A 17,069-nucleotide genomic window follows, 5' to 3' on the forward strand; every position below is an offset into this window, starting at 1 on the left:
TGCTGTTCTTACCATTCAAAGTAATGGTAATATCTTAAATCAAGCACATCTTTAAAGCCATCTGTACTGGCTTTGGGCATTCAAACGTGAACATTGTTGAGGGGCCATTATTCTACTTACAACAATTTGTAACCAATTAAACCAAAAAGAATCAAGGGAGAACTGTCATTCTAAAGTTTATCTGGACAGGTAAAAGACCCAGAACAGCTACCACAATATTGAAAAATAAGAACAAAATTTCAGGACTGATTTCCTACTGCCAGACTTAATATAAAGCCACAGTAATCAAAAAAGTATGACGTTGGCAAAATAATAGACAAATAAATAAATGAAACACAATAGATAGCCTAGAAATAGCTTCACATAAATATAGTCAACTGATCTTTGACCAAAAAAAAAAAAAAAAAAAAAAACCGAAGGCAATACAATAGAGAAAAAAAAACCAGTCTTTTCAACAAGTGTTGCTGAAACATTAGATAAGCAGAAAATTCATCTAAAATAAACAAATGAAAACAGAAACAACAAATGGTGCTGGAACTCCTGGATATCTACATGCAAGAAAGTAGGTTTAAACACAGACCTTATACCCTTCACAAAAATTGTCCCAAAATGGTTTACAAGCCTAAATGTAAAATGAAAAACTATAAACTCCTGGAAGAGAGCATTAGAGAAAATCTAGTTGACCTTGGGTATGGGGATGATTTTTAAATACAAGACCAAAGGCATGATATCCTCGAGAAAGTAACTGATAATCTGGAGAAGGGAAGCCATGGACTGGGAGAAAATATTTGCAAAAAAAAATGCCTGATAAAGGTTATCATCTGAAATATACAAAAAAAAAAAAAACCACTCAAAGTCCAATAATAAGAAAACACAGAACCTAATTAAAGAATAGGTGAAAGACCTCAATAGATATTTCACTAAAGAACACATGACAATGACAAATGAGAACACAAAAAGGTGCTCTGTGTCATATGTCATTAGGGAAATGCAAATTAAAACAAAAATAAAATACCATTACCTGCCTATTATAAGAGCGAGAACACTGAGAACACCAAATGCTGACAAAGATGTGGAGCATAGGAACTCTCATTGCCAGTGTAAATGTAAAATGGTGTAGGTACTTGGGAAGACAATTTATCACTTACAAAATTAAGCACACTCTTACTACTCAGTCCAGCAATCATGCTCCATAGTATTTATCCAAATGAGTCGAAAACTTACATACACACAAAAACCTGCACACAGATGTTTATAGCAGCTTTACTCATAATTCCCCAAGCTTGGAAGCAACCAATAAGCCTTTCTCAATCAGAGAATAGAATTAAATGTATCTATTTAGTAAAATATTATTTAGGACTGAAAAAACACTGAGCTATAAGGCCATGAAAAGACACGGAGGAACCTTAAATGGACACTACTCAGTAAAAGAAGAAAGTCCATATTCTGTACGACTCCAACTATAAGGCATGATGGAAAAGGTAAAACTATGGAGACACTAAAAATATCAGTGGTTTAAAGTCATTATGAAGAAGGGAAGGATGAATAGGAAGAACATAAAGGAGTTTTAAGCAGTGAAACTATTCTGTCTGATACTATAATGGTGAATATATGTTATTGGAAATACGTCTAAACCTATAAAATGTGTAATACCAAGAGTGAACCCTAATGTAAACTATAGACAGAGTGACAATAATGTGTCAGTGTAAGTTCATCAATTGTAACAACAAATGTACCACTCTGGTATGAGCAGTTGATATTGTGGGAGGCTATGCTTGTGTGAGAGAAGGAGTTATATTGGAAATCCCTCTACCTTCTGCTTAATTTTTTGTGAACCTAAAACTGCTCTAAAAACTAATGTCTTATACAATGAACAAACAAAAAAGATAAAGCATTGTTGCAAGATTTTAATAAATGGCTATACAGATGCTACGTGACTTACAATATGGTTATATCCTGATACATCCAACAAAGTCAAAAAATAAATAGTATATGTTGAAAATGCAATAAATACCTTGATAAGCCATCATAAAGTTGAAAATTGTAAGTCAAAGCATTAAAAGTAGCAACCATCTAGAAATGGTAAAAAATTTTTAAATAAGAGAACAACCAAACATCAGTCTCTGAGAAGCCTTGAAACTCTAGATGCTGTCAGTCAGTGAGTGCAACCCTAGCTGCTTGCAGCTTCAAAGCCAAAATACAAAAACCAAAGTGTGATGAAAGGAAAGCAACTTTATGCAAATGCTAGCAGATTGGAAATGGTCAAACTCATGGCTCCAAAAGACTATCTCAAATTTTGGGACTGACTGAGGGGGTTTAAAAAAGGAAACTTGGAATGGGAAACATGACGGAGTGATGCAGGGTGTAGGTCTACATGTATTTTTCTGATGGCTATATTGAGTGGTTTTCCACCTGTTGTCCCAGCTGGCATCATCTGGACTGTGGCTGGATTGTAGATTATCTACTTTGAGGTAAACTCTAGGTGGGTAAGAGTTCCATAGCTGGGTCACCATGTTTGGTTTGCTTTAAGATGAGCCCCTGAAGGTTCTAACTAAGCATGCCATTAGATAAACGTGCATGGTGCAAGGGAATGTCTCAAGGGAAAATAAGAGAAACAAAGAGGATGAAAGTACATTCCAAGGCTATATTCTGAGTTTAGAAAAAAAAAGCTTTAAGATTAATTTTATACCTAAAATGCTTGACTACAATTCCCCCATTGTCATATTTTATTCCATTTCCGTGGAAAGTGGGCAACATATTTAATCTGGCTATTTTCTGGTGGAAAGGGACATAGTTAGGGAGAAATTGAACAGAACCTGTCTACTTAGAGTTGATCATATTCTTGAGTCCCTGGTCTTATAGAAGAGATTGCTGAGCATCACAGAAAGTACATAACAGAAATACAGTTCACAGCAGAAGAATAAACCTATTCTCATAATCACGGCTAAAACTCCAAGTAATTTTCTTTCTGTCATCACAAGGGGCCTAATCCACATTATGTGGAGAGCCATTGACTTAAAGAAATTGTGGAATCAGATATATTACTATTTTGCTTATGTGTATCTTGTAGGACTGAGGATATGTTTCCAGAGTTATATGGAATGTACAGACAGCATTTAGTTTTAATTATTGTACACATTCCCCACTGTCAATTATACCAGGAGTTTCTGTGGGGATCTGATGACAGATTGGCTAAACAAACATATTTAGGTTATAGTAATAAAGTGGGAAAATTTTAAAAAATTTAAGTTAGACTAAAATAAGCATAAAATGCCCCCCTCGAAATGAAAGTTAAAAAAAATTAACTGCCTTTCTGTAAAATTTGTAAAGCATTAACCACATCTCTCCCCTACATATAAGTTCTATAAGTTCCTGTTTTTCTTACTGTACTGCAAAGTCACAAAATTAATAAGCATGAGTTACAAAACATGTTTTCCCAAGATATAAACTAAATCTTAAAAATGTCACCTGATAATTAACTACTTTTATTCTTGCTTCCATAAGCCTTCTTCCTGCATCACGTAATTACCACCTCAAGATACATAAAAGACATTTGTTTTCTTTGTTTGCTGCTCAGACTTTCAGGATGCATGTCTGCTGAGCCAGTGTACACCTAAAATAAACCCTCCTGAAACCCACTTGGTCTCTCTGGTTCTCTGATTTCAAGCTATGAATATTTATAAAGGTGGTGCTAGCACATGTTTCTTGAGCAAATATGCATGTAATATATGTCCCATGTTGATTTTGAGGTGGAGACTTAATATTTAAGTGTATTATAATTTTACCCTATACATTAAAATATCTCTTCAGGACACAAAGGCACATAAGTGTGCAATTTTTGCAGAACTAGTTGATGTTTGGTGGTCTTTTTTTCAGGAGAAAGTTACTGAAATCAGTCTTTTGTCTAATTAAAGCTGTAGTTATGGCTGTTAGAACAGGGGCTGGTAGTCAGCCTATTTCAAGGCTGGTTCTTGTGTGGCTGCTAGAGAAAAAGAAAAACCTTGTGGCAGTTGGAACATAGTTTACTTTTTAAGTTTAGAAGGGTGTGACTTAACGCTTGCCTAGCATGGTCTTAGAAAGTGTTTATAATGCAGTACATTCTTATTGTAAAGATCCTGTCAGTCCTGCAACCTCTATTTTACTGTTAATGCTGGTCAGTTGTGATTAAATTCCTGAGGAGGGAGGGTATTATGAGGTATGTCTGACCCACACCCCAACCCACAACTTTCTGTCATTTCTTGAACTCAGTTTTGTTTCTCTGGGGATCCCCTTTGGCTAAGAGAAGGACCATTCAGTCTATTGAGGGGCTTACAGTTCTATTTTATTTTGTTAGTTTATATTCCCCCTTTTTGGTCAAGATATGCCAGAGGCAGTATTGACAGTCAAACTTTTATTTATTTTTTTCCATATTGATGCTGGGGTGGTGTGCTACGTGCTCTGGGTCCATCATGTGGGCAGGCACTTATTGACCCTTGAAACCCCTTTTAAGCAATATAACAGCCAAAAACCAAAAGCCAAAAAGTTAGGTTATAAAATTAACTTGTCTGTAAGTTTTATATGTTATCAGCTGTTTAGGCATATGTGTATTTATCCTTGATTTGGAGGGTATGACCTAATTTTATTCCTCCAAATCAGCTCTTACAATATCATGCACTCACTTTTTCCATGATAGTCTCAGGGCCTGGAGACTTAAGTAAATGGTCTTAAATCCTAGAAGTAAAACAAAGCATAAAGAACAAGCAATGTTTTAAAGAAAAAAGTTAGAAGTGCTGCCTTGTTCTGAGAATGGCAGGAAAAGAAGCTCACAGGTAGCTAAACAGTTAAATCACTTAGCATCAAGGCATATAATAAATTATAGTAAGTTAAATAGAGGCAAAATCATTAAATGAGTATGTATGCCGTTGTATACAGGCCTGGTCCAGTGTCAACTGCAGGTAGTTTATCTTGATAGTCATCTTCTCCCAGATCTAAGGATGAGGATTTGATTAACTGGAATTTGGTGTCAGATATTCATAGAAGTCATTGTCTTATTTAGATGAGATACATGCAACCAGGAGTCAATGCTCTGAAACTTCATAGTATAAGGATTAGATAATAGAACCTCATAAGGACGTTTTTAAGGGGCTAAAGGTAGTGATACTGGAGTCCATGACCTGACTGGAAGCTGTAAAATGATTTCATAACCTTGCAGTGATAAATTTTTATAGTTTGATAAATGGCAGCAATAAGCCATAGATAACATATAATTCAGTGTCAAAGATGTTAAAAGATTCAAAACATTTGATAAAAACAAATTTCTTTTATGAATTTTCTTTATAAACATTTTTACAGCTTACATAGACTATCTATGACATGCTCTGACTTTGTTTTGTCCTGAATTTTATTTTCTTAAATCATTTCATTTTGCTTTATCACATAAGATTCTTTCTCATACAAAATTACTTTTTTAAGTTTTTAGCAAAAAATACCTCTATAACATTTTTTGCGTCTCTCTTTCTTACTGGTTTCTTTTATTTTGTTATATAAATAATTTTTGAATTAGACAAAATTATTTTTATTAAGAATATGTTATGTTATTTTAAAATAATTTTTTTCTTTATCTAAAACACATCTTACTTTAGCAAACGTTATATGCAGAATTATACAGTACCTAGAATTTTTTATGTTAATAATGTCTTTTTATTTTGAGACGGAATCTTGCTCTGTCACCAGGCTGGAGTGCAGTGGTGCGATCTCACCTCACTGCAACCTCCATCTCCTGGGTTCAAGTGATTATCCTGCCTCAGCCTCTCGAATAGCTGGGACTACAGGTGTGCGCTACCATGCCCAGTTAATTTTTGTATTTTTAGTAGAGATGGGGTTTCACCATATTGTCCAGGATGGTCTCGATCTCTTGACCTTGTGATCCGCCCACCTTGGCCTCCCAAAGTGCTGGCTGTTAATAGTTTTTAAAGTCTGTGAAGACGAGGTGTTCATCTAAGTAAGAATGAAACACCTAGGCATTTTACCAATAACATAAAATTTAACTGTTTTTATTAAAATTAACAATATTAAATTAGTTTTATTTGTCAAAAAATTACACAAAGTTTATTCTTCTTTTAGCTGGACTTATTGTCCTATAAATTTGGTGCCACACCTTAAACCTTGTAATATCTACCACAGATAAATATAAGACTGATTTAACCAACAAAAATGCAGTGACAATTCGGAAGACACTTCTATTTTTATTTTGTTAATAGTTTTGAAATCACTTTTATTTATCTAAAATTGCTAAATTTATGTGAACTTGAAAAGCATTTGGACTTAATTTATGAGTGTCTATTTACTTCTAAGTCAATGTGATATTATTTTAGACATCACCCCCTAAATGTCTATCAATGATAGACCGGATTAAGAAAATGTGGCACATATACACCATAGAATACTATGCAGCCATAAAAAGGGATGAGTTCATGTCCTTTGTAGGGACATAGATGAAGCTGAAAACCATCATTCTGAGCAAACTATCGCAAAGACAGAAAAACAAACACTGCATGTTCTCACTCATAGGTGGGAATTGAACAATGAGAACACTTGGACACAGGATGGGGAACATCACACACCAGGGCCTGTCGTGGGGTAGGGGGAAAGGGGAGAGATAGCATTAGGAGATATACCTAGTGTAAATGACGAGTTAATGGGTGCAGCACACCAACATGGCACATGTATACATATGTAACAAACCTGCACGTTGTGCACATGTACCCTAGAACTTAAAGTATAATAATAAAAAAAGGACATAACGTATAAACATATCTAAATATATATACACACAAATAAAGATCTAATAACTTTTACCTCAGAATTTTTTCCAAATATAGCAATATAAACTCACCATTTTTAAAAATACAGCTGGATCTAAATTATTTTTCTGAACAAATTGAAAAATTCACTAGGCTAAACTTTATTTTCCCTGATAGCTAATCCAGGGAAAGCTGTGGACCAAAATTTTGGGTAAAGCAGGCTCTATGACAATTTGATTTTTTTAAAAGCCTCTTTTATTTTCTTGAGTTTCAAATGAGTTTCCAATTTTACATTTTAGCTAGATCTGGCTAAAATGTATAAGAAAAACAAAATCTCCATGGAACCCTAAATAGGTGAATTCTATCTCAACACCAATAGCTGAATAATAGCAGATTCAAAGAAGGAAGAAAAGTGGGAAATATATACAGAGTTTAGAAACCTCTAGTTAACTCTATAGTTTCAGGTTAACCATTTTGAGCTCTCAGTTTTTCCTATTGTAATTTGCCCATTAGTTTAAAATGTGCACAAAAACAGACTATAACATATAACCATCTCAAGTCTCAGTCTAGAAAAGAGTTCACATGCTTTCTTCACCCACAAAGCTTGACAAGATATATGAGATATTCTAGAGTCCCAAAGAGAATGGCAACATCAGGGGCCAGGAAGCTGGAACTGTTACTTCCCTAATGCAGAGAGGTGCAGCCTATGTTGGTGCTTTCTGACAACCATGTGGACTTGGTATTGTCTGGTGGAACCCCACTTTACAGATGGAATAGAGACCATGTGAAACATTTACAAAGCAAAGAATATCAATAATCATAGACACAAACACAAATGGCTCTAATACAGAAGAGCACTCCAAACTGGTCCCCAAAAGGAGAGACTGAAGAAAAAGTACTAAAATCTTGTCTCAAATACAGACAGCACCACAAAATTACCTGTGCTAAACCCAGATGGCGCTAACTCAGAGAGCAGAGACGGAGGAGTCCCTAGAGCACTATAGTCAACTTACCCAGCTCTGAAGCCTGTCAGCTTCCTCAAGGCCACTTTCTTGTGTTAGCAAAGGGTTGCAGGCCACTTATGCTACAAGAGAGACATAAAGGAAATCCCTGGGACAAAAGCATCCTCAGCAGCTGCTGAGAGGTCTCTGGAGTCCCCAGCTACAGGGTCGACTATCCACAAGCAAATGACATTTATGAACAGCAATTACTCCACGTGGTAATGTGAACAGATAAGTCATAGCACACTGCTGCAGCCAATTGCTCCACTTATTGGAAACCAGGCAGAGACAGGCAGGCTAAGCTACTTGAATCACAGTTCCTCACATAGGGCACCAAATGTGTAAGCAAACATAAGTCTGGCCACTTGCTGCTTGACAGCAAAAATAATAGAAGCAAAGTGAGGTGAAAGGAAATCAACTTTGTTCAAATGCTAGCAGTTGGGAAATGGCCAGACTTGTGCTTCAAAAAGATCATTTAAAATTTTAGGGTTGGCTAAGGAGGTTTATAAAAGGAAACCTGGTTTGGGAAACATACGGGAGTGGTGCATGGTGCAGCTCTGCACGTTTTGTCCTGATGGCTATCTTGAATTATTATCCACCTGTAATCCTAGCTGGAATCATCTGGATTGTGGACAGTTGTAAATTATTTACTTTGAGATAATATCTAGGTAGGGGAGGGTTCCACAGTTTGGTCTCCATGTCTGCTTTGCTTTAAGATGGGCCTCAGGAGCTTCTGAACAAGCATGTTATTGGGTAAGCATGCAAGGTACAAGGGAATGTCTGATAGGAAAGGGAGAAAAAAAATATAGTACATCTGAAGGCTATATTTTGAGTTTAGAGAAAATAAGTGTTAAGATGCACTTTATAGCTAAGATGCTTATTTACAATGCAATCTCCTAAAAGTCCCATTTTGCATGGTGAGATGCATGATAAACAAGTCCTTGCATATTAGTTTTTAGTTACTTTTCATTTTAGACATGTATATGTTACATTAGAATATCCCTCCAAGTATGTTTTGAGTGCATTTATAAATTTTAATGTGTAATTTTTTCATTAATTTTCATTTATAATTTTTCTTTTACCAAATAATGATTTAAAATATTTTACTGTTAATTTTGTGAGAGATATATATGTATATCAATAGACAGTTACACATAATTATACTATTGTTATACATTTCTAATTCTATAAAAATGTAGTTAGTGGTGGAATGATTTTTACAAAAATCAAAGTCAAGTATTGAAATCAATCTGATCTCAATACTCTAAAACTACAATCATAGGAACAGTATGGTTGGTGTTGGTGTTAATATAAAAATTAAAAATTGAGATTCCAGTTTTGTGTATGCCTACATTTTCATGGCAATACAATTGTGAACAGATATTATTTTCAACAATGAATAAATAAAAAAGATGTTTAGCCAAATTAAAAGAAATAATTAATCCCTTACAAAATATACAACAATTACTTTAAATAGGCTTATACCATTAAGGATAAAAGCTAAATGCACAAAATGACGAGAGGACATTTCTAGGAGAAAGTTCTCAACTGAAATATATGACTAGAAGTTAATGCTCTGAGATTTGGGGCTGTGGGTATTGTTACATTATTTCATTGAGCTACCTGTTTACCACTATAGTTATATTAGCCTTTTCCAAAAAACAAGGTGAGGAGGTAGGCAGGCACTTCAACTATTAAATCAGTAGCACTGCTAACTCAAACAGGCTTAAGGTGTAGTAGTGTGTTTCAGAAGTAATTAGATGCTTTGTAAACTTTATGACATCTTAAACTTGAAATACTAAATTCTAAGGGCAAGAAAGAAAATAAGGTAATATGGGTGAAAACATTATTGTAATAAGAGAAGTTATTTAAGCTGTATGTGTATTATTTGAAGATTATATAAAGTAATACATTTTTTAGCTTCTCTTTTATAAATATTATCAAAATTTCAAAATAGGACACATAGTTTTAAACCAACTATGGATAGGAGTTTTATAGCATTACCACAATTATTTTTTTCAGACTAATTACAGATCAAAGTGAACAAAATTTAAATAGAATAATTCATCTAATAAGAAATTAACTTGCTAAATAACATGTGAAAACCTACTCTCTTCGTAAGTAACCAAGGAAAGGAAAATTAAAACTTTGGCTATGTCTGTCTATCATGCCGGCAAAGATAAAAGAATAGTAAAGAATGCCCATAAAGAGTCAGTAAAGTTTTGATTGCATAGCTTGCATAATCTACGAACCTCATTGCTTATGGCTTCCATTTTTACATTGATACATAGTTCTTCTTTGTACAATTAAGCTAGTTAGTTATTTTATTCCAGTCACTACTTTTAAACAGTCAATTTTTATTTACTTTATGGAAATTATTTGTATATACCATGATTTACTATTTTACCATGCCTTTGGTCTTTTGAGTTGATTTTTTTAGAGGGGTTTCATATAATTGATGTTGTTATTTTCCAAGTAAATAGATAGGGTTAATATGGGATAATATGTATATTTACTCAATTTTAGTATGCATATTTACCCCTTTTCATATTATTGACCTTATATACTAACTGCTACTCTTCCACTTTCATGTTAGAATTATCTTTGTTTTTCTGATTATTTATGTTCTTTTCTATTAGGCTTATATATATTTCTATAAACATTATACTTGAGTTTTGTTTTATATTCCAGTCCAAGAATACTTGTCTGTAATGGGGTCTCATTTTTCTTGATAGGTCAGGTACATACAGCACAGCTGAAAATTTGGCCTAATTTACTTACTTTCCTTCATCCGCATTCTCCTCTGCTGCTGTGCCAGTCTGTATGTTCACACTATTCTACATGCCATTGCAGTTACTTAACATGCTGTGTTGTGCTTCCTCTCCTCACAATTTATTTTCTCCCTATGCTATTATAGTCACTATCCCACTTTGAAGTTCAACTGAATATAAATCAGTCCTAAATTCTATCTCCAGCCAGTCCTTTCTCAGAAATCTGAGATTCTCCCTGAAAACAGTATTTTTATTCATTCATATTTAAGTCATGACTTAGTCTTGACTAGTTTAATTCATAAGTGTAACCTGTATCTGCATCTCCATTGCCACCTTGGTTGTTAAATGTATAATTGCTTCTTACCTCATGGCAGTGTTTCCCTTTTTCCACGTTACTTTAGCTGTATTCAAACCTATTTGCTACAGGTTGAGATCAAAGTGATCTTTCCAAAATGTTTATATGACCTAACCACTCACATTGTCATAAATGCTTATAACTTACTTTACATTGCTGATAATTAAGTTAAAAATTCTTATCTTTGCCAACCATGTCCTACCCATCCCTACAGATTACTTCATAATACCATTTACTTTCCTCTCAAGCCTGTCTTATGGGCCTTTTTCAGTTTCTGCAACATCCTACTTCTCTCTCCCATGCAACTTTTCTCACTTTCTTCTCATAATTAGCTTGTCACTGTATTTTATTTTTCAGTCTAATTCCAACTCATTCTTTAGAATTAATTGCTAAATTAGGGGCCCCTGATTTATTGCCATCTATGACTAGGGTAGGCCCTCTAATCACAATTATCCAATAACAATATATATTTCTCACTTGTAACATTTGTAATCCCTGATAGATTTAAACTCTATGAAGGAAAACATGAGTATTCCCTGCTAAACTCTAAGATTGTGCATAATCTCTCTCACGTTGAATTTATATTAGTAATAAAGCATCACATTTTTATTATCATAAAGAGAAACATTTTATTTTGGTAAAACTTTGAGTTCAAAGTCTTAAATATTAAATGAGGCCGGGCACTGTGGCTCACGCCTGTAATCCCAGCACTTTGGGAGGCCAAGGCGGGTGGATCATGAGGTCAGGAGATTGAGACCACGGTGAAACCCCGTCTGTACTAAAAATACAAAAAAAATTAGCCGGGTGCGGTGGTGGGCACCTGTAGTCCCAGCTACTCGGGAGGCTGAGGCAGGAGAATGTCGTGAACTCGGGAGGCAGAGCTTGCAGTGAGCCAAGATCACACCACTGCACTCCAGCCTGGGCGACAAAGCAAGACTCCGTCTCAAAAAAATAAATAAAAAAATAAAATAAAATAAATAAAATGAAACTCACTACTCATTGACATACTCAAATACTGACACAACAAATAGACTCTGAAGCTGTTATTTCATCTTTCTTTTCTCATTTTTGAGTAAAATTATGAAATAAATATAACTAAATCTGAAATAAAATAATATCAGAGAAGAAAAAGAACATTTTAAAAGCTAGCTATAAAGAGCAATCTTCCTACCCCTAAACGTTTTACTATCAGCATTAATTAGACATAAGCCTGAATTTTTTTCCTCCTAGGTGCCCTGAAGTTGGTTGAATCATCATTACAAATCTTGTTTGGTGGGCTTGCTAAAGTGTATGTAGGGCTATATGTCGTACAGAATTTATATCAGGACATTAAAAGTGATTTGAGAACCTATTAAAAAATTAGCTTAATTATCGGGGGAACCTGCCCCTGACAATTCAATGTTATTTCACGTAGGTTCTTTTCTATTTCCCTAAGTGTCTGCTGGTTTAAGAAATAAAGGGAAAGAGCACAAAAGAGAGAAATTTTAAAGCTGGGTGTCCAGGGGAGACATCACATGTTGGCAGGTTTGTGATGCCCCCTGAGCCGTAAAACCAGCAAGTTTTTATTAGCAATTTTCAAAGGGGAGGGATTGTATGAATAGGGTGGGGGTCACAGAGACCACATGCGTCACAAGGCAATAAGATATTACAAGGCAAATGGAGGCAGGGTGAGATCACAGGACCTGGATAAAATTAAAATTGCTAATGAAGTTTCGGGCATGCATTGTCATTGATAACATCTTATCAGGAGACAGGGTTTGAGAGCAGACAACTGGTCTGAACAAAATTTATTAGGTGGGAATTTCCTCATCCTAATAGGCCTGGGAGCACTACAGGAGACCGGGGCTTATTTCTTCCCTTATCTGCAACTGTAAAAGACAGACGTTCCCAGAGCGGCCATTTCAGAGGCCTCCCACTAGGAATGCATTCTCTTTCTCAGGGCTGTTCCTTGCTGAGAAAAAGAATTCAGTGATATTTCTCTTACCCATTTTTGTAATAAGAGAAATATGGCTGTGTCCTGCCTGGCCCACAGGCAGCCAGACTTTAAGGTTATCTCCCTTGTTCCCGTAAAATCACTGTTATCCTGTTCTTAAGGTGCCCAGATTTCATATTGTTCAAACACACATGATCTACAAACAATCTGTGCAGTTAACACAATCATCACAGGGTCCTGAGGTGACTTACATCCTCAGCTTACAAAGATGACAGGATTAAGAGATTAAAGTAAAGACAGGCATAGGAAATCACAAGATTATTGATTGGGAAAGTGATAAATGTCCATGAAATCTTCACAGTTTATGTTCAGAGATTACAGTAAAGACAGGCATAAGTAATTATAAAAGTATTAATTTGGGGAACTGATAAATGTCCATGAAATCTTCACAATTTATGTTCTGCCATGGCTTCAGCCAGTCCTTCCGTTCAGAGTCCCTGACTTCCCGCAACACTTGATCATTCAAAATAACATTACATTACTTATTAATAAATCTAATCAGTATTTTGAAATTGCTCATATCTAATATTTTTAAGAGTACCTGATTATTTTAGCATTATTGAGGTATAATTGTTATTAAAAGTATTATGTACATTTAATATGTACATTTTCATGTGTTTAGACATATGTACCTACCCAACCATTACATTCCTTAAGCCTCAATTTTCTACCCCTTTATTTATGTTGCACAATATGGCAACTCATATAAGCTTGCCATTTTGGATTACCCGTCTTATTTTTCCATATTTTGATTTAAGTACTTAATCTCTGAATAAGGGTCATGAAGACTTAAAAATTCTATAGGGTGTAACTGCAAGCTACTGTCTAAGCATCAATGTCCCCAAATCATAGGTAATAAAAGATGCAATCTTGTTCAATTTAAAAAAATAACTCAAGGCCGGGTGCAGTGGCTCACGCCTGTAATGCCAGCACTTTGGGAGGCCGAGGCGGGTGGATCACGAGGTCAGGAGATCGAGACCATCCTGGCTAACACGGTGAAAACCCGTCTCTACTAAAAACACAAAAAATTAGCCAGGCCTGGTGGGGGGCACCTGTAGTCCCAGCTACTCAGGAGGCTGAGGCCGGAGAATGACGTGAACCCAGGAGGCGGAGCTTGCAGTGAGCCAAGATTGCGCCACTGCACTCCAGCCTGGGCAACAGAGCAAGACTCTGTCTCAAAAAAAAAAAAAAAAAACCTCAAAACACAACCTGGAGATGTTTCAAAGGCCACTGCTATTACTCTAATTCAATATTATTCATGAAATGATGTTTCATGTACAGTGTGTAATATATTTACTCAGTCAATCCTTCATTGATAGTCATCCATCATAGTGATTTTTTTTTATTTTTTCTTGGAACAACAATCACATTTAACATACATTGTTTCTTATGTATATATCTATATTTATATCTATCTAATTTTATGGAAGAAACAAACAAATGAGATTGTTAATTTGAAGAGTATGTGTATTTTAACTATAATTTACATTGCAGGATTACCTGAGAAAGCTGGAACAAATTACATTGATGCAAAGTTTATGTATATGCTTTTACCTGAATCTCTAAGACTAACCATTATGGCTTTGTAAAATTGCTACCAGCTTTGTAAAAATATACCAATATGATGTGTATGTAATGACATCTCATTTCTACTGTTTTTGCATTTCTTTGACTGCATGGCTTTCTTGATCATTTACTTTTCATCTTTACTTAAATATAAAATATATTCACATTCATTCTACGTAAAATTATACCCCTTCAACTTCCTATAGTTGTTTACAGCTTTATTTTCTTCCTTTGAAAATACCTATATTAAAATGCTATAGATTTCACTTATTTACCCCATTTGTTACCTCTCTTTTTCTGAAGAACATAAGCTCTGAAAACAGGGGTTTCCATAGTTTTGCTTATAGATACAACTCCAGTATGAGCAGATTGCCAGGCATATAGTAGGTATTCAATAAACGTTTTTTAATAAATTAAAAAATAATGAAGCCACTTTAACAACAACAAAAAATTCTCTATATATCTAAAATATCACTTCAAAACATTTTGTTACTGGGGCCTCAGGGATGATGGAATCTGGCCAAGGATTTACACTCAACTTATATAATTTACAGGACATTGGCAATGCTGGAAATGTACTGGTAACATTGGCAACATCTTTATTCTTAGGTCAGGATGGAGAGAACAAAATCATAAAAAATACAATGTCTAAAGTTACTGATTGAGTTAGGTCACAACCCACTTTAGGCATAAACTTTCATCTTAAGGCACAAGACTGTAGTTCGTTGATAAGCATTTTCAATATTTTCAACAAGATTAATTACTATGTTCAAAATATAGGGTCAGTTGGGTTATGTGGAACCTAATGTTGAGTGGAGAATCAATAACTAGTCCCTTTAGGTGCCAAATTGGTCCTGTGATTTTTATCCTACAGGATGTGCTTTATGTGGAAACCATGCCTACCCAAGAGCCACATAAAACAAGGCCTAGGGGATAGTAGCCCCAAGCAAAAACAGATGGACACATTTGTTTCTGGCAGCTGGAGGCTTTGTTCTATGTGGCTATGTGGTATAATGTTTACTACTTGACCTCTTATTACTCTGCGCTTTGCAACAAAACTTTGACCAAAGGAAACAATTTCATAAAAAGCAGATGTTTCTGCAATGTATGAATACAAAACACAAGATATTCAGCCCCACTTCATTTGAAAAATTGTTCTGATTGCAAACTAAAGACTTAAATGAAATTAATAAAGAGATTGAGGAAACCCCATAATCAGACATGTTAAGTAGGAATGATTTTTATTGGAATTCACTAGAATCGTTTTTGTTGGAGCTCACTAAATTATACATTTAATAAGGGTTGATATTTGGAATATAGTAACTAGGACTCATGTCAGAAATATTAAAAATGGTGTTCTAGTGAAATAATGACTCTCACTCTTAAATGTACCCATTTTATATAATTAAACATAAGTGTAAGTTTTATAATAAACTTAATGTGCAAACTGCTGTTACTGTTGACATTTGTGATTACAATACACTGAACCCTTGGAAACTCTCCAATGTTGCTTTGTTTGATCCTTGCAAATAGATGTTTACTGATACTTATTAATGTAAAAATTACAGAACATTGTGATTTATGTTGTAAAAATAAGTGTCATGAAAACCATGAGACAAGGTGGATGACTTCCATAAAGAACTGATTAACAGGCCGATTTAGTTTGGTTTCACGGGGGAAAAGTGTGGCAGGCAGATAGGTGTCATATGGAGTGAAATTTATAGTAGCAGAAAAGGAATAATGAGATCATGTCCAAAAATAGTGCAAACATGCATACACACACACACATGCACAATCACACAGGCTGTACATATAGAAATCCAAGATTTTGCAGGTACTGTAATAGCCTCTGGCAGCAAACCATCATTCTAGTAGGTGCTACACATCCAAATGTACCTACTGTAGGTAAATCCAATCCTACTCCCTTAATCCCACACTTGTTGAATCACTGCAGATAAACAATAGAGCAATACAGTGCAGGATTGAGTCACTGAGCCCCACATTTGACAGCACTCCCTAATTGACTATAATCCAACAGTAGGCAATGGATTCCTAAAGCCATACTAAAGTCTATCAGTCTAGGTCCTTCCAATTCTATTCTAGCAGATCAATTCAATTACATTCTATTAAATTATTTAGACTAAATTATCCTATTAAAGTGTCATTTCAAAGGGTGATTTCCAATTACTTATGTAATTTAAAAAATTTTTATGTGGCAATATGATTTGCAATACTTTTTTTAATCTTCAAAATCAGCACATATTTTAATTCACATATTTTGATACTTCATTCCAGTTTCTAGGTCTGGTAAAAGAAGTGGATGACTTTCATGGGATATAAGGTTATTTCTAGCATAGAGAAAGATCTGAGGAAAATTCTACTACAAAAATTAAAGATGGCAATAGCACACTTGCAATATTTCATATTTTATGGCATTATGGCATTACTATTTGTGTTTGGGGCAGACTGAAAATCTATTTTTATTATGCCTTCTGAGATGGCACTTTGAATTTAAGCCCCATTTTCCGTGGCTTATAGCTTTTCCACTGAATACCTTTGGGGCTAAACTTCATCATTCTGGTTCTTAACCTAGAATGAAAT

The sequence above is a fragment of the Homo sapiens genome, chromosome 5, assembly GCF_000001405.40.
Source record: "Homo sapiens chromosome 5, GRCh38.p14 Primary Assembly".
NCBI lineage: Eukaryota > Metazoa > Chordata > Mammalia > Primates > Hominidae > Homo > Homo sapiens.